Consider the following 25,425-nt stretch of genomic DNA (forward strand, 5'->3'; position numbering starts at 1 on the left):
GGAAGAGGTTAACAGCTCTAAATCCCCTCTCCTGTTTAAATTCTTATTACCCTTAGGGTATCTAAATCAATGCAACCATGTGTTGTACTGAGATATAATTCCTTGAGATAACTGAGATAAAACAACCGAGATAACTCATTGATATAGCAGAGTATTTACCCTAATGCTCCATGCAGAGAACACAGGCGTTAGCAGCTGCTGTACCTAAGCTTCAAATGGTTTTTCCCCAGTTTATTAGCTGTATGAGGGTGCCTAAATTATGCACCCTGCCTAAAACTTCAGTTTTCCTTTATGCAAAATAGGAATAACAACAGTATCTACTCTACTAGGTGGTTGGGGAGATCAAGTGAGATCACGGACTCCTGCCTTTACCTCTGCTTTATGACAACTTCTCTCCTTGTCTTTCAATTTATTTATTTTCTGCCTTTCCCACTTTTTCCCCCCATATTTTCCCCTATTTTTCTTTTTTAAAAAAAATCCAGGAACTTGCGTCCTGAGAGATATTTTTCTTCTTTTGCTTTGATTCACTGTTTTTAGATATTCTAAATTGGCAAATTTATCCCAATTGGAGGGATAATCAGTGAGAAATAAACAACATAGTAACAGAATATTTTGAAATTTATGAAGGTTTTGTTTTAATGTCTCCAAGAATTTACTAATGACAGTAAAATAAGCAGATTTTGTTCTTATATAAGAATGAAATACATGTGTTCATCTCATTACTATGACTACATTCAATATTTGAGTGAGAATACAATTGTTAAAGTTATTTATGAGATATAATTTACATACAGCAAAAAATTACCCTTATAAGTGGGTAATTATATGAATCTTGACAAACACTTACAGTCAGATAACCACCAATACAATCAAGGTATAAATAATTTCCAACTCTGTTCACCCTTGCCCCTACAACCCAGGCATTTAGCAATCAGCAATTGTTTTCTGTCCCTGTAGTTTTGTGTTTTCCAGAATACCATAATAATAGAATGATATAGCATGTAGACTTCTGAGTTGGTTTCTTGCCCTTAGTGAAAACCATATGAGATTCAGCCATGTTGTTGCCTGTATTCGTATTTTGTTCTTCTTACTGTTGAATACATAAATTGCATGGATGTACCCCAGTCTGTCTATCCACTAAGCAATTGATGGGAATTTGGGTGGTTTCTAAAATTTATCAATTATAAATAAAACCACTCTAAACGTTAGGTACAGGTTTTGATTTCTGGTATGGATGTAGAGAAAAGGACTTACGTTTTCACTTGTCTTTGCTAATATGTAGGAGTAGCATTGCTTGGTAGTATGTTAGACTTTATCAGAACCTGTCAAATGGTTTAATGGTTTTCCCAAAACAACTTTATCATTTCTCATTCACACCAGCAATGCATGAGATTTTTAGTTGCTTGCTCTACATACTTGCCAGTACTTGATATTGTCATTTTTTTAAAAAATTAGCCATTCTAATAAAGGTGTTGTGGTAGCTCATTGTGACTTTAATTTATGTTTACTAATGACTAATGATGTTGAGCATCTTTTGCCTTCCATATATCTTCTGTAGGGAACTGTCTGCTAAAATATTTTGATCTTTTTTACATTGTGTTCATTAACTTATCATTGAATTGTAAGGGTGTTTGTGTATTTAGGATAGGCATGTATTATTCAATATCAATTTGCAAACATTTTCTTCTATCTCTTGAGTTTTCCTTTTATTTCTCAAATGCACCTTTGAAGCCCAGTGCTAAAAAAATCAATTTTTAAGAAGGTAAAAACTTACTTAAATTACTACTTCACATTATTTTTCCCTTTATAAATGTCAATGAAATATTATGGTCATATGTTTTTCAAAGCTTTTAGCTCATTACACTTTTCTTATCTACTTTCCAAAAGAGAAGACTATGCATAGTTAACAGTTCAAGCGCTCTTTTGAATTTCTTTGCCACATAGCTTATTCTCTAGGGAAGAAACACTTACATAAACATGTTGCTCTGAAGAGTACAGAGGGGAACCTTAGTGACACAGTTTTTGGTTCTGTCATCAGGTGTAGACATAGACTTTAGTTTCTCTTCTCTCTTCTCTCCATTCTTAATACTTTTCCAGTTTGGGTTTGGGCCTACATTCATCCTCGAGTCCTATTAAACAGGAGTATGATTTTTGTTCTCCCAACTCAACAAGACAACGTCTTGCTGAGTTTCCTTTTCTCCCAGGAGCTGTTTCCCAGATCCATGGCTCACATGCTGGCCAAGGAGCTGAAGTGTCGTAGTGCTGCACTAAAAAAGCTTTCCCAGGTGGAGACCTCGCCATTTCTCAAATCTTAGCCTTCCTCTCTGGGATAAGTAACAACAGACAGAGCAAAGAATAAAAGGAAAACAAGCACTTTGGGAGCATCCAATAGACCTGGGCCTATGTTCTGGATCTGACATTATTCATTTGTTTATTTACTCTTTCTTTAATGTATTCATTCATTCATTCAGCAAATAACTCTTTCAGCATCTGCTCTGTGTGCCATGCTAGGAACTAGGAATACAGTAGTAAATGAGACAGACTTAGCTTTTTCCCTCAAATAAATGGCAGGTCTGTCATTTCTTTGTTGTCCTGAATAAGCTGTTAAGCTTTTTTGTGTTTCCTTTGTCTATTCTGAAATGGAGAAAGCAGTTCTTAGCTCACACATCTAATGAATATTATAATAAGACAAACCAAAATATCCACATTTTAAAAAATAAGGTGGATGTGATGTTCTTTGTGGTCTTCCATACCCCCAATTTTCTGCAAAGGTGACCTCCTAAATAAATTATACCTAAGGTGGAAAAGAAAGATCCAACTGCAGTAGTACCTCATCAAAATGGATGCTTGTGATGATGGAGAGCTGGTTTTAGCAAGAAGCCCAAGCCAGCCAGCTTTCTAGTATATAATCCTGATAATCTACTCAACTATGGTCCTACTGCAATAGCTTCTGAATAAATGCTCAACAGTTCAGGTTGCCTTTCCATATATTTTCACTCCTATACTAGTGCTTTGACTAGTCTCTATAGTTGTCATTCACCCATCTATCCTCATTGTAAGCACACTTTGCATTTGTCAATGAGGCCTTTGCACTTGAAGGAGAAAAACATGGAAAATAGAACCAGAAAATAGTCTGACATCATGTACTAAATTTCCAGAAAACAGATTATCTAATATCTTGGGAACGCGATTCAAGGAGCACGTTCTTCTGAGATAAAAAACAGCTTTTACAATACAAGCTATTAAAAGGCAACGATGCAATACAAGCTTTTTATTGTTAACTCCATTCTCATAACTTCAGTTTCAATAAAAGATCCCATTAGAAATGCTTCCCCATGTGGCAACTGCTCTGGAATTTCCGCCATTATTTTCTAAGCATTTTATCTATTTATATCATAAAGCTATAAAAGAAAGGTCTGGATCAACAGTGTGTACATATGAATCTTTTCGTCTAAAAGCCTAAGACTCAATCCGAGAGGGGATAATATAAAACTTTAGAAGCCACCCAGTTTCTGTCCAATCTGCCATGAAATAAATTCAGAGACAGAAAGAGAGAGAGAAGAATAAACCTGGCTGTTTTCTATTCATAAAGGTCTCCTCCAAAAGCTAGTCAGTTCTAACTAGCTAACAGAACTAGCAATAATGAGTTTATTTAGTATAAATTTTGCATGTGTTCTCTTTTATTCCTTAACTAGTAAAGTAGATATGAGCATTACCCACATTTTATAGAAGACAAACTGAGGATTATAGAAGTTAAATAACCTTGTCCAAGGTCATACAGGTAGCAAACAGCAGAAAATATTTGAATGTAAATATTCTACCCTCAAACCTTTTATTAAATTATGCAAGATAGAACTTTGAAAGGCTAACACCCTCATCATTAGCACACAGTAGGCATATAATAGAAATTATCAGCTGGTAGATCAGTGAATTTGAGGGCTCCAAAATAGGTTTAGTGCTTATAAAAAGCACAGTTCTTTGTAGACAGAACACTACCTATTATGACAATAAGCTGTTGGCAGGACCTGAAAGAAATCAGGGAGGGCCTTTTGAGGATTAAGAAGGTATAATGAAAATCAGGAAGCTGGTTTAATGAGAAAGAAATGCAATATACTTTGCCTCTCCGATTCCTTTTGTATTTGGTGTACTCATCTAGGAGCAACTCCGTTTGTTTTCTTACTGTCACTCTTTTTTTCACATGGCCTGGAAACGATTCATGTTTCTTTAGTGATGCATGGGGAGAGAATAGTTTATGCAGACAATTATAAAAAGGATGGATTATTGGTAGAGACTGATGGGTCAATATAACATATGGTGTTCAATGCAACTACATATCTTTGGAAGTTACTGACAAGTCTATAGGTACAGCAATATAAAGCAGATTTTACCAAGTGCATAAATTTGCAGAATGACTATATTTTTTAATCACCAAAAGCTATGGACTAAGCCATCTCTAGTGACTTGTGAAATAACGTATGCAAGAAATCTAAATACAAGGACATACAAAGAGTAGAATAATCACAAATATATCAACAGGGAATTATTTGAAGCATACATGTATTAGGAGTAAGTTCTATTACACGAGAGAAAGGTAAATGATTGTTATAGGAGAAAACAATTATATATTGTCTATGAGAGAAGGTAGTCATTCAATATTTATATTGGAAGATATCATTAATAGACGATAATCTAAGTCTTTCATTTTACAAAATGAGAATGGAGACCGAAATAATTTATACTGTATGCACATTTATATAGTTAGCCTAGGGCTAGTCTCAGTGTGCCATACTGCCCCAAAGATTTTTCGTGAACTGAAAATTATAGTACTTTTTTATTTATCTTCTGTTTTAGGTTCCCTTTGATTCTCAGATATTTTTCTTTTATGTTTCTATTAACTCAGCCATTCACCCTTTCCCTTCTTTAGTCACTGCCTGACACTTGGTTGCAATCTACCTTTATACAATTAATTAGGGTGTAATTCTCCAACTTGCTATGATTCTTTTTAATTCTCAGACTATCATCCAAATTCTTTGTCAGCCCCACTTTAAAAGTTGCGAGGACACCAACAGCTCATGCTAAAATATTTTTCATTTCTGGTAAAATGCCATGTAAGTGGAATGCTAATAAAATTTTAGATTCCGTATAATAAATATAATCCATATAGCAGGCCATGTTGCTATCCACAGAAAGCTTCTCCACACACTATTTACATAGGATTCTTCACTACAAAAATCACATGGAGAACATCCTTTCCCTATTCTTTATCTAAGCTATTCCTTGGTAAGAGGAAAGGTTGATGATTATGCTGAAAAGGGGAACCCAGAGCACTTTGCAAATTTATGTTCTTTAACCGGCATGTATTTTAACCTTCAACTACTTTCTATTTTCCTACATTGACTATTCTAATTCATCTTTCCAGAACACTCACTTCCATTCCCAAAATACACACCGACAAAACCTAAGATTTTAGATTTTGTTTACCATGTTCTCTGTGCCAGACATGGTTCTAAATCTTCCATATTTATCATTCACCACATTCTTTCAAGATAGGGATTGTCATTGTCTCTATTCACAGATGAGAATACTGAGCCTTAGAGAAGTTAAATAATCCAATCAGTCTTATAGAGTTGATCCCAGGTGGTGTGATCTTAGAGTCTGTACAATTAAGTACTAAGTTTCATTAATAAACAATCTCACACACACACACTCTCTCTCTCTCTAAATTTAATAACCTCCATCAAGGCTACATTTCCATTATATCTCACCTTGCATTTTTCAAGGAATACACTTATTAAAAGAAAAAATACAGACTTAAATAGGGAGATAACTTATCCTCAAGTTTTCCAATTATACTTAATCACCTAGTCAAAAGCATTCAGCTTTGCATAAGTCCCTATATTATCACGACTTTTGTTTTGACAAGAGAAGAACATAGCCAGAGAGGCAGAACAGAATGTACATGCCAAGGATCTAGGTTTATATCTAGTCTAAAGAAAACCTCATCATAATCAGAGAATTGATTTTTAAACTTCCTCTTCCATAAGGAGAATTTCTAATTTAAATGCAGTTCACTACCAGAGAATGCATTAGTTCTGTGTAATGCATCCAGAAAATGTTCAATAAATATTAACAGATAATTACTAAAGTTATAGATAATATAAATTACACATGTAGTACACACATCTGAGTTTTTTAAAAAGCATAAATTCAAAATAGGATTTTAAATTATATACAAGAACAACAACTGCAAAATTAACTTCCTGAAAGGTACAGCAAGCACAGGATACAAAATAACCTGAACCTTACTTAGTAAACACATACAAACGGTGATGCAATTACACTGTTTTTTTAAAAAAAACTATTTTCTTCACAATTCATTCTCAATATGATTTTCAGTTTTAAATACTAAAATCACTGACGCTTAAAGTGTCTGTTCTCAGTTTAAGAGAAATATAGGGTAATAACATTGAATATAAAAGATCATTTTAGAAAAGAAATACATATTAATGTATTTACACTGAGGCCTAAATTATCAACCAATATGTTGCTTATTATTAATTTCAGAGAGAACTGCATTGCTTTAGGGGCTGAGAAGGGGCCTAAACTGAGACATAATGAACTGCCAAGCTGAAAAGGATGTTAGAGGTCATTAAGTTACGCCTTATAGTTTTCCAGATGAGGACACTGAGACACAGAGAGTAGTTGGGACAACCCGAGGTCAAACCACAAATTAGTGGCAGAGAAAAGACAGGAACTCAGAGGACCAAACGCAGTGGCTCACACCTGTAATCCCAGCACTTTGTGAGGCCGAGGTGGGTGGATCACCTAGGTCAGGAGTTTGAGACCAGCCTGTCCAACAGGACAAAACAATACAAATATATCTACACAACAAATACAAAAATTATCCTGGTGTGGCAGTGCACACCTGTAGTCCCAACTACTGTGGAGCCTGAGGCAGGAAAATCGCATGAACCTGGGAGGCAGAGGTTGCAGTGAGCCAAGAGTGTGCCACTGTACTCCAGCCTGGGTGACAGAGCTAGACTCTGTCAAAAAAAAAAAAAAAAAAAAGAGCTCAGAGGATCCTAGACCTCAGGGTACTGTATTTGAAGATGGGACAATCTTGGAAGGTGTCAGTGAACTTTAAATAAATAGCACCCCATCTAGTAGTTTCTCTTTCAGTCATGGATAAATGCAACTGGAGACAAGTCTTGGCTTTACGCCGAGCAAGGCAGCTCAGAGATTCACAGCAATAATTCTTGTGTGACTAAGCAAAGGCCTCCACTGCTTTAAATCCCTGCATGCTTTAATCTCCAGCTGTCTTTCTGGTGTACTCTCTCAGGGTAGGGAGGGATCTTAAAGATAATAACTTTTAGCTTTGTAAAAAGTTCAGATGATTTTAATGGCTAAGTATTTACATAGGTTATCATTTTCAAAGTCCAAATGTTGGTCAATGAGGATATTATGGAGGGGAAAAGTCTTGCCTACGTGGAATATCTATGACTTTGATAATGAAGAGTGAGCAGGTTCTGCAAGGAGATATGTTGGAAAATACTGAGCTCCCATGACTAAAATTAAGACAGGAAATAAATCAATCTCAGAATTTCTCAAAAGATGTTAAATGGGCAGTTTGCTGGTTTTGGGAAGTGAGAAGGGAGGTGGTAATTATTTTAATCCGTATTTTTGTGGCACAATGCCACAAAGGTGTACGTATCATGCTTAAAGTATATTCGCTTGAATGAGATTATCATCTCATATCTGCTTCCAGGAATAGCTCAGATAGAAACTGGTGCTGGGGTTAAGGTAAGAAATGATGGGTTTACCTTCCCTTGTCAAACAAGCTTTATCATTTAGAGTAAGCACAAGGCCAGTTTAAACCAGCTTAACTTTTACATGTATGTATGTATTTATATTTTCATAGAACTACATATTTATTTCTCACATATTTAATTAGTGTCAAAGACAGCAGTGATAATAGAAAGGAGCCCTGGAATGAAACCCAGAAATCTTGAGTTGACATCCCAGATCTGCATGTACCTGGCTTCTGCCCTTCACCAAGTCAATACCTTCAGGATTCTAGAGCTACAAGACGAAAAGCTTAGACTTCCACCAGGGAAACCTCCATATTACATAAATGGGGGAGATAAGTAGGTTAGACTTATTCAAATGCAGAAAACTAGAAAATTGGCTGAGCTAGGACTCAGTCAACAGCCACTCTAACCTCCTTCTATATCATCTTCTACTATTGTAGAAGATGGAAAGTTAAAAACCATCTTTCACCAATTCCCTTTACATTAGGATTCTTCACATGGCGTAGGTTTCATCAAACTCGTGAGGGGGGAGTAATCATTCCACAGCCCACATGAGTGGGCTCACACAGTGGTGGAATCCCTCTTTGTTATTGTTTGACGCCATAGGTTTCACGTAAGGAGAAATATGAGTCAATGACAATTTTTACTTTTTTTTCAATGGATCCTGGAGTTTAAAAAACTGCAAGAAGGCACTGGAATTAAATGATTAAGTTTGGGTCCAGGCACAGTGGCTCATGCCTGTGATCCAAGCACTTTGGGAGGCTGAGCTGGAGGCTACCAGTGTGTAATCAATCCACATTATATTTAAGGAAGTGTGTTTATTATGTCTTGGCCTTCAGAAGTATTGCTCCACTTGAGCCCAGGAGTTTGAGACCAGCCTGGGCAACACGGCAAAACCCCATCTCTACAAAAAATAGAAAAATTAGCCAAGTGCAGTGGTATGCACCTGTAGTCCCAGCTGCCATTGCACTCCAGCCTGGGCAACAGAGTAAGACCATATTTGAAAACAAACAAACAAACAAAAAAAGATACTCTGCATAGAAATTAATCACAATTTCTTTAAATATGCAGGTTTTTAAAATTTTTTGATTAAAATTTTCCAAAGGAAATAGCTCCAACTTTTAAATATTTGAAGGGGAAAACATTTTATTTTATTTATTTTATAGACAGGCTCTCACTCTGTGCCCTAGGCTGGAGTGCAGTGGCATGATCATACAGCATGGTAATCTGAAATTCCTGGGCTCAAGCCATCCTCCTGCCTCAGCTTCCTGAGTAGCTATGACTACAGGTGCACACTACCACACCCAGGTAATTAAAAAAAAAAATTATCTGGAGACGGTTTTTGCTATGTTGCCCAGCTGGTCTGGAACTCTGGGCCTTAAGCAATCCTCCCGCCTCCACTTCCCAAAATGCTGGGATTACAAGAGTGAGCCATCACATCAGCCACATTTTCATTTAGACAATTTAATTTGGAACAATTGGAGCAATGCTTCTGAAGGCCAACACATAATAAACACTCTTCCTTAAATATAATGTGGATTGATGATACACTGGTAGGTATTTATATTTTGAAGTGCCATGATGAGTTCCGAATGTTTAGATAAGAAATAAAAAGGGAGGACTAGAGGAAGTGTACCCTCCAGAGAAGCCAAATTTAGTCTGGGAAATAGAAATAGGGTCAATGTCAACAGCAGCAAGATGACGACAGACCAATGGCTGTTTACACCAGAGTCTTTCCAGGTTTTCTGACAAGTTTTGTGTTACTTCATATCTTCCTTATTTAATCCTGGCCATTAACTACAATACAGTACTAACATTTTAACTCAGCTATACAAACCCAAAACTTCAATAAGTTTATCAGAGACAATACTGATATGTTAAAAAAATTACTCACAAAACACATGCATACAGAATATAGTAATATCACATATTTTGCAACTGTGTCCACAATTAAGACCTCCTGTACTAAGTAGAATGTCACTGCATATAGGGTATTGAAATACAGAAGCCATTTCTTGTGTAGCACCCAAGGAAAGTCTTTCACATTCAAACTGCCTTTTACATTAATGGAAGTGCCAAAATGATTTGCATTTGTATATTCGCAAATCATATTGTTTTAATATTTCAAAGAACGGATCACACTCACCCCTTATCCTATTTGATTCTATTAGGTCTTCAAAAAGGAACTTTGGGTGGACACAACATACAGAAATCCTATTAAGCATATGATTTCATGAAGGTATGCATGTAGAGTGTTTAGAATATGACACATATTTAAATGCTCCATTAAAAAACTATTAATGTTAGGATTAGAATATAAATCTACAGTAAAATGGTATTGATGACAGAAACATTTTAATCTTTTGTCAGTCAATTATTGATATTTCAAAGTATTTTATAAATTTTGGTACAACACATACACCCACCACAATAATGTGAATCCTTTCAAATTCTTGTTTTGCACATATAGTACAGTATAAACTTGATAAATGTTTTTTAAAATTAATATAGAAATGGATGAATGAGATTCAATTAGCCCAATGTCAGATACAGTTGTTGAAATACATTAAGTATTCAACAAGTGGATACAAAAATATGTTTGAACTGCCAATTATAGCAAGGTCTCTGTGTCAAATTAAAACTAAAACTAAGATACTTCGTATCTTGTTAAAGACTGGCTTAATTTTTGTCACATGGTATACTTCCAAGTGCTTTTACCTGAAGAAGACTAAGCATTTCTCCAGCATGCCTGTCCATAACTAGTATTTATCCTCTATGCAATTTGTTAACATGGTACCTAAGAGTTGACAAAGAAAAGCAGATACCTCTTTAGCTAGATAATTCATTAATCCATGTTATTTTATCATTTTGTGGCCCACTGTAGTGACTCTCACTTATCCATTTATTTGTTCAATAAATATTTCCTAAGTTCCTATTATGCACTGTACAAGGTGGATACTCCACAGTATGCTTAACAGGTATGGCCCCTCCTTTCTCCAAGCTTAGTTTAGAAAGGCAAATAATCAGGAATGAAGGTGTTTATATGGGGCTGAAAGATTAGGGAGGAGTAAAAGGGAAAAGGAGCAACACTTCTTGCACATCTTCTATGTGACAAGCACAATTCCAGGTACTCCCCCATAGTTCCTCTTTTCAGGGAATTGTTGCTGACATGTGATGTCTCCCCCAGGCACCCAGCTTTAAAATTTCTCTCTTTTGTACTCTGTCCCTTTATTTCTCAGACCAGCTGACACTTAGGGAAAATAGAAAAGAACCTACGTGAAATATCGGGGGTGAATTTCGACTGATAGGGAATGACCTCTCCAGCCACCCAGTAACTCAGGTCAAACATTTTGGAGCCATCTCTGACTCTTTTCTTCCATTTCCACTCTATGGTAAAACCATCATTAAATCCTGCCAGCTTTGCATTCAAAGTATGTGCTAACATTAACCAGTTTTCCCATTTCCTCCACTACCACCCTAGTCCATCATCACATCTGGTCATACAAAGGTTACTCTACTGCCTCTCTTGTGCATCTGTAAGCTATTCTCTCTATGACGAATGAAACAGAATCATATTCCTATTTTTCAGATACTTTTCAAATACAAATGATTTTCTGTTGAATTTAGAATAAAATAGGAAGTTCATGTTGTGGTCTGTCAAGTTCTATAAAATCTGGCCTTCAATTACCGTGCCCATCTATCTCTCAATCTCTGCTTTGCTCAGTGTGTTCAACTACTCCAGGCTCCCACTGGGGTTTTCAAGCACACCTCCACTTCAGGCCTGTTTCACTCACATGGAGTATTCTCGCTCAGAGCTGCATGTTTCTTTGTTGTGTTTGCTCAAATGTCAGCTTCTCAGAAGACTGAATGTGTTCACCCTCGCTGAAATAGTAACCGCCCTTATCCATTCTCTATGTCCTTATCCTGCTTAAATTTTCTTTATAGAGCTTGCCATTTTCTGAACATCAATTACATTATACATAACACTCCTATTGATTTCTTTATTATCTGCCTTCCCACCTGAATATATCCATACAAACAGGGCTTCCACTATACAAGGCTCTATCCTCAGCACCTATAACAGTACTAACCATGTAGCAAAATCCAAGAACACATTTTTTGAAATAATGGATTATTTCATTTGATTCTTATATGAAATTGCTAATATTATTACTATTACCAAAAAAAACAGGTAAAAAATAATGAAACAATTTTTGGAAAGAGATAAAATAATTTAGGAAACAGGGCTCATGATTGAGGATTAGATGACTAGCAGAGGATTTAAAAAGTGAAGAAGTAGAAATAACAGAGACAGATGTTTTGATTTTTTTTAATTTCTCAATTTCTTTAATTTTAATATTACAAATGAAATATTTTGGGGAACAATATACCTTAATTCCGTAAATTAATATTTTAAAATTAATAATCTGCTTTGTTAATTTCCAATAAAAATTAAAACCTATACATGAAGATCATTTACAAAAGATGAGAAATGACACAGAAAATATAGAGTGAACACTACTTAACTACTCCTCCACTTTTCTGTTTCCATGTCAGACACATGCCTGGTTTCTGACCCTTGTCAGACCAGGAACAAATTATAATTTGAAAGTAGGGCATAAAGCGCTGGAGTTGAGACTTGTAAGGATGTAAGAGCTTACAACAAAAGAACATAGGAAAGTGTGGTGAAGGCTAAAGAGAATTAGAATGCCTTTCCCCATTTGGTGAATGAATAGATTTTTGTGTTTTGTTTTAGCATATCTTCAGGCCTGAATGGAATGCTTTGTGTAGTAAACACAGTAAAGCTCAAATCGAGTTTACTGCCTCCATATGGTTCCAACCACATACGTACAATGGTAGATTCATGGGGTTGGGGGGGGGGGGCGTTTGTCAGGGGAGGACAAGTCATTTTCCTAGAAAAGGCAATTGTGTTTCTAGAATTTTATTAAGCAAGAGTTCAAAAGCAAGCCAGAGCAAAAAATCGTACTCAGAACATCAGTTTGTTGGTGCCTTTCCAAAACAGCAATTTGATAAAAGTGCATCTGCAAGTCTTTTATCTGCAAAGTTAATTTCATTATTGCACTATACTGTACTTAAAAAAAAGATCCACACATTTATTAAAATTGTAATAAATGAATCACTTAGGCTTTGATCTCCTACACCAGTTTTACTGAGCTCCCCTAAAGGGAGATCAATTAAGCATACATTTTTCCACCTTTTAAAATAATACTCTCAGACAGAGCATTTGAATTTCATTTTATTAAAATGTAGGCACAGTAAACATTATAAAAAATAAAATTCCCACAATTCACGCTATTTTAAAAAATATCAGCAACTGTCTCATTTCATTCTTGATAGGAAAAATAAAATTTTAGTTTGATGATGGGGTTCAGGATATAATATCCCCAAATATAACAGTTTGGCATGCTGAAAACTGCAGAAGCAGGAAGGTCACTCTCATCCTCTTCTGCCTTTCACTCCTGAAGCACATCACAAAACATAGGAAAGATTTTCTGACCTTCTCCTGAAGCAGGTCATAAGATATTCAGGTGAAAGATACCCTCCCTATATTGGGAGGAAAGGAACATCCTTGTCTCTGAAGAAGGGTCACACAGAAGAATCTAAACAAACACCCTGATAAGTTTCCCTAATTTATTACAATTAAATCATACCAAATTTGTCCATTCATACTTTTGTACAACTGTCCACTCTTCATCAAACCTAGCACAAAATACACAGGTTTAACTATTTTTTCAGGTCTTCACTTCCTTACAAAGGCCTCCATGTCAAGTAAAACGTATATGAAATACCTTGTATGCTTTTCTCTTGTTTATTAGCTATTTTGTTATAGGAACTTCAACCATGAACCCAGAATGGGTGAGGGAAAGGTATTTTTCCCCTCCTATAAAGATATTTCCTAAGTGTTCTCTGACACAATACACTAAAAACTACTTTATGACACAACCAGAAGCACTAATAAAATGTTGTGTTTCTAGGAAAGTGCTCTCTTCATCAAATGACATGCTTTCGTAGAAAACAGAATCTTATTCAATATTGTGAGAGTTTTGATTTATTTGCTATAGTGTACCATTGCTTCTGTGTTCCAAAACACAAAACGATTCATATAATAATGAATTTGTTAAAATGACTTTCCGTAAGAAACACACATTTATTTTCCAGTGCATATAAAGAGCTTAGTTATGAGTCTGAAAGTATCCTCTATGTACCTAGGAAGGAAGTTCCCCCATCAGGACAGGCAAGGGAAAAAATTCTCTGTAAATATAACCGAATGAAAACAAAAGGAGACACATCATCAGAAATATTACATCATACATGCAAGATGACAAAATACAATTTTTGAAGTGTTATTTTCTTTGCTACTTAAAAATGGAATGACGGAAATTATATGGTGGCTGTGTTCTTGTCCTGGCTATGAAACTAATAGGGTGACTTTTTCAAACTGTTTTCTTTCTCTGTTCATCTCTAATAAGAAGTGGCTGCAGTAGATACTCTTTAAGATTTCTTCTAACTCTAAAATTCTATGGATTAAGTAATTTAAACATTTTCAAAGGTATTTTCATTTCTTCATATATTCTTCCTGAGCTTATGACAAATTAATTCTATGTTCAAGCATTTATGGACAGACTCTTCCAACTGAAAGAACTGGTGAATTTAATGATCTTGAAAAAGGAGGAGAAATAGGAGGAAACACTTAACTTATTACTATCCAAGAATATCCTAAAATTCTACTCATTTGAGCATCTTCTATGCAGCCCTCATAAGGTAACAAAAACAAATAAGCATAGAAAGTCTTGGAGGAACTACTGATTCCTAAATAATAATGATTTATCAAAGTAAAATTATTGTTATCAACCAGTGGACCAGTTAGGGGCACCAATAAAGTAATGAGAGATTTCTAACTGAAATACATTCACTTATTTACCCTGTAGCATAATAAAAACGAACGTAAGGAATATACAACATTGAGAGCATTGTTTCAGGTCATTTTCACATACGATTCTAATTACTAAATATTCCAGGATGAGAAGAAATGACTAGAGATAAATTATGGTGCCTATTAAACCTTTTATTGAAACCTCCTTTCCAAAAATTAATATCACATTTAATCATCAAAATATCCTATCTAAAAATTTGATTTATTTAGTTGTAGTCTACTTCCACATGGAATTTGGAGTAACTGTGTAAGACATGAAAGAAATTCTAATTGAAAAAAGGCAGACTGGGCAAAAGATAATCAGATAAACTAGATGCACTACATGTATGTAGCTTATTTGCCTCTGACTCCTGGTACATATGACAATATATCCTGCTTGTACACACAATAGTAACATATTTCTGCCACAAGGAAGGACAAAGAAGGAAGCAAAGGAGAGGGGGAGGAAGGAAAAGTTGACTAATTGCATTTTAAACTGTTACCAAACAAGAAGTGAGTTACAGAAATGAATCACCACTACTCTGAAGTTTCAGCTTGTGAATAAAGTTGCCCTGGCTGATACTGATTATTTTCTACTTACCATTTTAACTGTCATCTTTTTAGCACATTAAGGCTCTCTTTTCATAGACCTGCAGAAAACCGGTTTTACTAATCCCTTTCCTCCCAGAATGCCTTCGCTCTTTATCCTGGATGTACCCTCACTTCCTGTTTTTTGTTATTGTTGTTGTTGTTTGCTTGTGTGGTGGTGGGGGAAAAAAAAAAAAACTTAGAAGACATTGAACCATATATCCAGGTTTCCGGAGGTGAACTAACAACCCCAAGTTTGGGGTCTAGCCAACCCTTTCACAGATGCTGGACAGATACTAAGCAAACTACTGCTCACACACCTGCCATGAATAAAATTTTAAATTCATGACAAAGGGCAACCTGAATAAACAGATTCTGGGTGAGAAAATAAAGAAAATGTGCAGAGCCTAAAACAGTTATAGCAGCCAATACATAAAGTATTTGCTTTCAGTAAGTGCCATTTCTGTTTTTGGTTACTTCTCATTCCCTTATTTCTCCCTTTTGACAATATTTTGTTTGGATAAGTCATCAGCCTAGCTGAAATTTTATTACACAGAAAAAAATGAATAATTAAAAAGTTATGACCATTTCAGAAAACTAGGCTTTATGGAAGTAACTTTAAAGTACGTGGTTTTATAAATAAGCATTTGTAGGAGGCTGAGACAGGAGAATCGCTTGAACCTGGGAGGCAGAGGATGCAGTGAGCCGAGATCATGTCACTACAGTCCTGCCTGGACGACACACCAAGACTCCGTCTCAAAAATAAATAAATAAACAAATAAACAAACATTTGCTCAAAAGGGACTCGGGGGTATGATTCTGGTATTTTCCCTCTCACCTATAAATGTTATGCAAATGTATTATTTTTCAAGGAGGGGAATGCCCAGTACTGGGAGACCACTTCTCCATCTAGAGGAGAATTTTCTTGTGCCAAGGTTACTGCTAAGTTTGAAATAGAAAGAAAAGTGTGCTTAGTAAGCACTGAAATAGATCAAAGGAATGAAAAAAGTCCTAAGAAATATTAATTTTAGACTATAGTAAAACTTAATGAATGAACCTTACCGCATAAGATGGAACATACTGGATAGTCACTATAATATGCATGCCTATATCTACATACATATCTACTACATATAGATACACACCTGTATCTAGCTATTTTTTAAAATAGTCACATTTTTCTTGTGATTTCTTTGTTTCTGCAACTCTTGATTTCCTCTGATTACTCTTTTAACTGGATCTATAACCTACATCTTTCTCTGGATATTCCTCTGGTAACTCTCCCTCTTTTATTCCTCATCTTCTTTATTCCAAGTTGACAATTAGTTTACCTTTACCCTGATTACTCAGTTATAATGCCTATTCTTACTTCCCAAGAAAAAAATCTACACATTTTTAAACTCATTTTTGAATTGACATATAATAATTGCAAATACTTATGAGATATATACTGATATTTCTATATGTTTTATGTACAATGATGAGCTCAATGTGATCAGCATATCCATCAGTTCAAACCTTATCATTTCTTTGTGCTGGGAACATTCAGTATTACACACAGAAAAGCTATCCTTCAAAAATGAAAAAGAAATAAAATATTTAACAGATAAGCAAGAAATAAGGGGATTCATCACCATGAGAATGGCCTTGCAAGAAATGTTTAAGAAAGTCTCACATATGGAAGTGAAAAGACAATAATTACCAACATGAAAACATGCAAGACTATAAAACTCACTGGTAGTGTCAATACACAAAGGAGAAAGAAAAAGGAATAAAATCTTATCACTATAGAGAATCACCCAATTGCAAAAATAAACCATAAGAGAGGAAGTAAAGAACAAAGGAAATACAAAATAACCATAAAACAATCAGTAAAATTACAGGAATAAATCTCCACCTATCAGTAGTAACCTTCAATCTAAATGGATTTAATTCCCCCTTGAAAAGATACAGACTGGCTGAGTGGATTAAAACAAAAATGACCCAAATATATGTTGCCTACAAGAAACCCATCTTATCTGCAAATACACACATAGACTGAAAGTGAAGAGAAGACAAAAGATATTTCAGGCAAATAAAAACCAAAAGCAAGCAGGGGCAGTCATACTTACATCAGACAAAACAGACTTTAGGTCAAAAGCTGTAAAAAGAGACAAATCTACATTTTTTCTTGGATTTCTCGGTATGATAGAAGCTAGCAATCTTCAAAACGTGTATAAATCTATTGCCAGTCATTGACATTTCTTATAAGAACCTGTGTAGTTGTCTCACGTGGGTCCGCAGCTATTTATTTCCAATTTCCTTTCCATTTAAGACCTACCTATGCAGCCATAAAAAATGATGAGTTCATGTCCTTTGTAGGGACATGGATGAAGCTGGAAACCATCATTCTCAGTAAACTATCGCAAGGACAAAAAACCAAACACAGCATGTTCTCACTCATAGGTGGGAATTGAACAATGAGAACACATGGACACAGGAAGGGGAACATCACATACCGGGGACTGTTGTGGGGTGGGGGAAGGGGGGAGGGATAGCATTAGGATATATACCTAATGCTAAATGACAAGTTAATGGGTGCAGCACACCAACGTGGCACATGTATGTATATGTAACAAACCTGCACGTTGTGCACATGTACCCTAAAACTTAAAGTATAATAATAAAATTTAAAAAAAAAGACCTACCATTTGAGCAACTATAGTCTTATAATAACCTTCTGTTACTCTCTATTTTTCTAAGTACACCACATACTCAAAAGGTAAGCTCCTTGCCCCTTAATATAGTTACAAGGTTTACAAAGCTTAGTTTCCAGCCTGTTTAACCACTTTTCAACATCTTGCCTCTGTGCACTACAAATTCTAAGTTATTTGTAGTTCTTCAAATGAGTAAGTGTCTTTTTGCTTGCTCTACCCTCTTCTCCCTATGTTCCCTTAGCTCTAATTCCTATTCATATTCAAGTTTCGCCTTAGCTGTCTTATCCTCTAGGAAGCCTCCTCTACCTCCCAAATCTGAGTTGCTTGTGCCCTATCATTACTGTTCATCACTCTGTATCGTGGCTGACCTTCTAAATGTCTATATTCACCTATAATCTATGAACACCAATAGAGCAGTGACCTGCCTATCTGATGACAAACATAACCCCAGTGCCTAAGCTCAATGACTTTACGTATTACTTAAAAGTCATAAATGTTAAACATTTTTCTCTAGTGCATAAATTACAACATTAGATACTATAATGAGCTATAACTCTTCGTCTCTTTTTATTTCAAAATTCTATTTTGTAACAAATTACTTTGTTTCCATATGCAATTGGACATGTTTTTCAGATAATTATCAGAAGATTAATGAGCATTTTCTGAACCATTTCTGAAATACAGAAAGGGTATTCAAAAAAAATTATTGTCCAAAGAAAAATTGATACAATACTTATTTGGAAGTCCTGAAATCTAAGAGGGTTAAAAATATGTGTGCCTATGACAATTTCTGAATTATTTACAAAATTTTGGTGATACAATATAGAAACTATTTACATACTTTCCTTATGAGTTACTTATGAAAACAATGTTAACATAAGTTACTCGAAGTGTTAGGGGTTTAGGAAAATTGTGCATAATAAGCACATAACCATTATACACATCAAAACGTACTTTTACCTTTTGTGTGTGTGTGTTTTATATATTATTTTTCTATTTTTAAATGAAGCAGATTTGAGAAATTATTGATTGGATAGTTTTTGATAAAGGATAAAAGAGTTAGACAGGTTAAATACACATTTTTATGGGATGCACTTTTACATGAATGTTTCTTTCTTAAACTGAGTAAATCCTGAGATAAAATATTATCACCAAAGATATTTAGCTAAATTGTGGACAAATACATAGAGTAACAGTCTGTAGACAACAGCAAATAATTATCTGGAATATTCCCTTCATTTCAAAAGTTTTCATCTTAGGTATATTGTTTGAATATTTTATTATCAAAAAGCCAAAATATGATGAAAAAGTCATAAAGTGATAAAATCCTAAGAAAGGAAATAACAGTGGAAAGAAAAATTAATCTTGCACAGAATAGAAGGAAAATAAATAAACGAGAAGCACACAAATAATCAAATAAAGAAAATAATAGTAGAAAACAATAAACCTGTTTTGTATGCTGAGATTTGCCTACAGTCTTCCTATAAAATTCTGGAAACTATATCTAGAGGTTGCTCTTTGATTGTTGCTGGCAATGTATCATTTGGTTGGGAAATACATTCACACATAAATAAAAGAGATCAGTTATAAAGAAAAATACAAATGTCAAATCAATTAAACCCAAGCAGTGCTCCAAATCAAACAAAGAAGAGAGTCAGAGAGTAGCTCAAATGCTATTATACTATCTAAAAAGAAGGGGTTTACTTTTGATCCTTTGTGTATATGACTCCATAGAACCTGCCTGAGCTATTCTGAAGCTGTGAGTGGCGATGGTGAAGGCAGATGAGAAAGCATGACGTGTAGAGACAAATAAAGCTTGGGTTCAAATTTTCTCCTTGCTATTTAGATTTTTCCAGGAATTTGTTTTCCTAAATACAAAATGAAAATAATTAAATTTGGTTTGTGTTTTTGAGAATTAAGTGAGATAATAATCACAAAGTTGATCACTGCAGGGTATGGCATACAATCATTACACATCAATTCCTTTCCTCTCTTGCCCATTACTATCTATACAGGGCATCTTGAAAACGTATTTATTAATTGTATTTCTTATAATACATCATTTTAATTGTGTATAAAATATACTCAAAGATACTAAAAGCATCAATATAATAATTTCCTAACATAACATTTTAGCTCTTTGTAAATATATATAAATATAAATTTATAATTTACAAATTAATAGCCACAAATGTTTTCTTGGAATGTTTTTATAAAACTTGTAGTCATATACTTCTATTTTTTATAGACTGCTTTTAATTTCGTGATAATATTAAGGTTATTTGGTAGGACAAATCACATTTTTTTTTAGTTTTAGGCAATTTTTTCTTAAACTGGAAAAATCTGAGACATACAGTAAATGAAACAAAAATCTGAGCTGTAGAGTCAATGAAAACAAAGTATAACTAATTTGTGGAAAGGCAAAAATTAGAACCCAGCAATGTACTATTCTACTAAATATCTTTAGTTTCCACATAAATCATGAGTTGGCATATAACATGGATAGTCTGAATAAACTCTTGTTACTTAACTCCAATATTGCCCTAATTTCAAGGAGCTGATCCAGAAGAGGAAGATCTGAGTTGGGACTTCAGACCAATGGCAAGATTCAAGCCTTTCATCTCCATGCTTTCTGCATTTCTCTATAGATATTCAGTTGTGAAACACCTGGAGTTTATGTGTAGTTGGCTCACACCAGCTGCATTTTTGAAGAAGGGGTAAAATAAGCATTTTGGGTTAGATATGAAAAATTTTATGCAACAAATGCATATTTGGAAACTGCAAAATGAGCATGCAAATCAATTTATATGCATCGATGAATGAATATAGACGGGCTATTTTCAAAGTATAGGCATTCTAGTGTAGCATAATATATCGGGACAAAAGGAATGGGAAGGAGGCAAATTGCTCAGCTTAGTCATCCATTTGCAATGGAAAATTGCATTGTCAAGTTCCATTATGCCTGCACAAATTTAGACAAATTAAAGAGTCTACTAAGTAATTATTGATAACATACATGTGTATGAAGTAGAGCAGGAAAGTTGTGAGTCATTTGGAACTTCTCAGATGTTTCTAGGATTTTCATTAGCGAAAGGAGGCATTGAAAGAATGATAATATACCTTACTATGAAACCAATTTGAGACACAACACTGGCCTATTCAGCCATATCTCTTCTATGGTGACAGAGATGGATAACAACCGGAAAAAGTGTAAATAAAACATTAACACAAATCACTCTGCTGAGGAGAAACGTTACATCTGGTTCTGGACCCTGCATCTTGTTAGGATCCCTTCATTCATTACTTCATTACCAGGAGAATTATTCAATCTGACACACGAGACCAAGTTAAAAAAAAAATCCTTAGAATTATACAAACTTTAAATCCTATATTTCTCTCTTTTACAGTGTGTGTTCAGAATATATTCTGCAAGGTTACTGTGGTATTCTCTTCTGACAATATAAACATTCTACTACGTTTAAGACAGAATGTTCAACCAAGGATAACATAAATCCCTGGAAAGTCATATAATGGGTCTCATCTTCTGAAATGGACTATTGGTTTGACATTTCAAACATCTCATAGATAATCCCTCAAGATGGAGAGTCACCAACTTCCTTTGATAATCTGCTCTTGCACTTATAAATATTTATCCTTCAACAATTTAAATATGTTTTTTCTTTACCCTCTTCACTGAAAACAGCAAAACACCTGGTCTTTACAGGTTATGTGCCTTTTTATACATAAATAAGTATATAAATTCTATTTTGCATATATGTGTATGTATTTGACATTTATTTATACTCGCTAAACGTATTTTTAACAAACTTCCATACCAGTTCACAAAACACACCTCATTCATGTTATATTGTGAGTCATTATACACAGCTCTACCATAATTTATTTAATCAAATCCATGTTAATAAACATTTGGATTTGACTCCATTTACTTGTTTTCACTATTACAGACAACATGCAATGAGTACCAGTGCTAATATATTTGTGAGGCTTGTTCAGGTATTTCTGTTTAAAACCAAAGTTCCTAGAGATGAAACTGTTAAAGGAAATACACATTTACATTTTCATAGTTACTGTTAAACTGCCTCTCAAAAGAACTATAATAATACACACTCCATCCAAAGATGCACAAGAGCATAAGAGTGTCTACGTTGCCACACCTTTCGGCCAAAACTGGGTATGATGGTCTTTTCTGTGCTTTTTTTTTTTTTGGTCTTGCTTTGCCACCCAGGCTAGAGGACAGTGGCACAATCACAGTTCACTGCAACCTCTAACTCCCAGCCTCAAGCAATCTACCTCAGCCTCAAAAATAGCAGGAACTACAGGTGTATGCCACAACATCTGGCTAATTTTTAAAAATGTTTTTGTATCGCGCTTTTTGCCTGGGCTGGTCTCAAACTCCTGGCCTCAAACAATTCTCTCACTTCAGCCTCCCAAAGTGCTGAGATTACAGGAATGAGCCACCCTGCCCAGCCTGATGGCGCTTTTTAATATTTTCAACAAGCTAAACAATAAATCATATACTTCATTTTAATTCACGTCTTTACTTATTATTGAGGTCAAGCTTCTTTTTATACATTTACTAGCTATTTGATATTCTCTTTTAAGAAATTGCCTACTTGTTTTGTTTGACCATTACCGACAATATTCTCTTCTTAATATCTTGCAGTGAGACCCACTAACGTTTATTGAACTCCTACAGTGGGCCAGACTCTGGTAGCTCTTACGTATATAAAAGGTGTAAGTGCTCCCCTGGGGACTTAGAATCAAGTGAAGAAATCAGATGGGATGATAAATTACTATAATAAAATGTGTTCAGCATAAGAATAAGGGTCTACACAAAGCCAGCATTGTCCCTGCTGGAGAACCAGGGGTGAGCAGGAAGAGGGTATCAGGGATGATTTCACAGAGAAGGAGACCTTACAGATGGGTTTTAAATGATGGGTGAAATTTCACTCAGTAGAGATTCAATGGAAGGCACTAGGTCCAGAGAGAGTAACACTAGAAAGAACCCCAAGACATGTGAACACAATTATTATTCAGAATATAAATAATGACTGGCTTAGATCACAAAGTTTCTGTTGAAAGAAAATGGTAAGAAATGAGTCTGGATAAGGAGACCAATTTATATACAAGTGCTTGCCTGCCATTCTTGAGAATCTGTATTTTATCTTTCAGCCAAAGGAGCAGTACTATTTATAAAGGATCACTCCAGTAGTAGAGACAAATGGCTTTGAAAGGGGACAAAAGGAGCAATGCCTGAGATTGGGAAAGTGGTAAGTAGACTATAGCAGCAATCCTGATGAGGGAGTATGAGAGCCTAAAATAGCATAATATCAATAGAATCAAGAGAACTTGGTCACAGAAAGCATGTGATTAATCCTTTCATCTTTCTACAACTAGTCACACTGGATATTCATCTCTGTGGCAGCATTTATTGCATTGTAATGAAATCATGCATGTTGTCTACCAGCCCACCCCACTAAAATGTGACGCTTTCCAACTCTTAGACCTGTAGTTGACCAAAACGTTGTTTCACCAAAAAATAAACTTTCAGGTTTCCTCACTTTCCTTGTGTTCACATTTTATGCTGCAACAAACTCAGTATTTATTAATCTAAAGTCTTTTTTTAAAAAAACTTAGCCTCTATAACATTCTAATGCCTTAGTGCAAACTGTTTTATTTTGATATGGAAGAATCCAGTGATTACAGTAATTTGAAATGATGGTGACTTAATTAAGAGTGTGAAGCAATCCATTAACTATAATTTGTAAAAGGAGCCATATGTTTTTCACTCTTTTAGGTATACCATTGGACTTGCATTTTCAAAAAGTAAACCTGCTAATTTTTGCTTCAACTGAGGATATCATTAACAATATCACCAGTAGCACACATGTGTACCTTATTACAGATCTTCATATACTATAATTAATAGTGAGTTTTATTCGTATTTGGATGCCTGAATTGTTTAGACTTGTATTTAGGTTTCAAGCCCTTTATTTGTGCTGTCAAACGTTTAGTCCTCAAGGGCTTGAGAGCACAGAGGTGAACACTGCCTAAGACCTAACATCTCACCTCCTCCTGTGTGATGGCTTCTTAATATGTGGTTCAGGAATTATGAATGGAGAAAAACAACAGAGGGGTCAAAGATGAGGCTAGATTTCTGGTTTGTGTAACTGGCTTTCCTGGGAAACCAAAAACATGACAGAATACCCAGAAATGCATGTTTTTCATTTTGTGAGTACTATAATTTTTTTTCTCTGGTTTTTGTTTTCTTTGTTTTGTTTTTAACCCAAAACTATTTTTCTGCCCTCTAATCTCATCCTCCTCCAGGAACAATTCATACCAGTACTACCAAAGACCCTTTCACCCAAAGCTGTATTTCACAGAGGAAGAACAATTACATAGGATATAAACGGACTGAGATGTAAGAGACACCACTCGAATATTCTGTGGTTATGCAGCAGGGCAAGAACATCACACCTGGTGGAGGTAGAGTCAGTACTGGGAGGATACCCTGGAGATGGCAAAGCAAACAAGAGGAAGTGCAAGGTGAGTCTGCAATACAGGCAGCGGCTGTAACTCGAGCTCAACCAGCTCAACAACGTTTAAGGAAACATGAAACTGGGGCAATCCACTGTGTAAAGAGGACAAGGGCAGCTGGCTCAGGGCAAACATAAGCATGTGGGTGGAGAGCCTGCCCAGAGTGTATTCCAGGGACACCAATGTGCAACAACAGCAAGTCAAGTCACTGGGGGAAGTAATTCATGGGCCAAGTGTTCTGTAACAGTTGGTGACATATTTTATGCAAATGTATCTGTGAATTATAACTTCAGACACTCTTGAAATAGAGTTGTTTTTTTTTTTTGGCAGAAATTAGGTTTTGTAGGGGGAGGGGAGAGTATTTGTTTTGGGCTTTTTCCAACTCAGGACTTGGGAGATTTGCACGTTAAAAGGCTTTCAGAAAAGTCCAATTATTTACATAACTACAGAACTGAAAATATATTTCAAATGTTACTTAGTCCAGGCTGCTGACCAGAAAAAGAGGAACCTTAAGCAATTTAAAACTAGCAGTTGTCTATTTAAGCTACTAAGGATCTCTAGTGATACAGATTCACCCACCACTTCTGCTGACCTGTTCTCACATTTATACTAGAATTACAAGTGAATGCTGTTTTCTCTTTCCTTCGGCCTAAACCAGCACAATTTTGTTCAAATCCATTTCCATTGTTTAGTCCTCTGTGGACCAGACTACCACTGCCAGTTTTCCTTAGTCCAAATTCTTTTTTCTGTTTGTCAGCTCATATTTTTCTGTCCTACTTTTCCTGCTTACAAATGCAATGCTATCAAGATTTTTCCCTTTATACAATTCTGGACTGCC

General features: G+C 35.3%; 1 protein-coding gene across 19 annotated transcripts in view, besides 2 other annotated features; it reads right to left on the reverse strand.

Annotated features, from left to right (window-relative positions):
• NRXN1 (neurexin 1) overlaps positions 1–25,425 on the reverse strand; it is a 1,113,630-nt gene that overhangs the window by 1,070,052 nt on the left and 18,153 nt on the right. The window lies entirely within an intron of this gene.
• Positions 12,213–12,746: an enhancer, noted in NCBI's record as "OCT4-NANOG hESC enhancer chr2:51227905-51228438 (GRCh37/hg19 assembly coordinates)". NCBI's record gives its function as "activates a minimal SCP1, AML or CMV promoter by ChIP-STARR-seq in naive H9 embryonic stem cells {active_cell/tissue: H9 hESC(naive)}" and the evidence as "EXISTENCE:reporter gene assay evidence [ECO:0000049][PMID:30033119]".
• Positions 24,391–24,947: an enhancer, noted in NCBI's record as "OCT4-NANOG hESC enhancer chr2:51240083-51240639 (GRCh37/hg19 assembly coordinates)". NCBI's record gives its function as "activates a minimal SCP1, AML or CMV promoter by ChIP-STARR-seq in naive and primed H9 embryonic stem cells {active_cell/tissue: H9 hESC(naive and primed)}" and the evidence as "EXISTENCE:reporter gene assay evidence [ECO:0000049][PMID:30033119]".

Source organism: Homo sapiens, chromosome 2, assembly GCF_000001405.40.
Source record: "Homo sapiens chromosome 2, GRCh38.p14 Primary Assembly".
Lineage (NCBI taxonomy): Eukaryota > Metazoa > Chordata > Mammalia > Primates > Hominidae > Homo > Homo sapiens.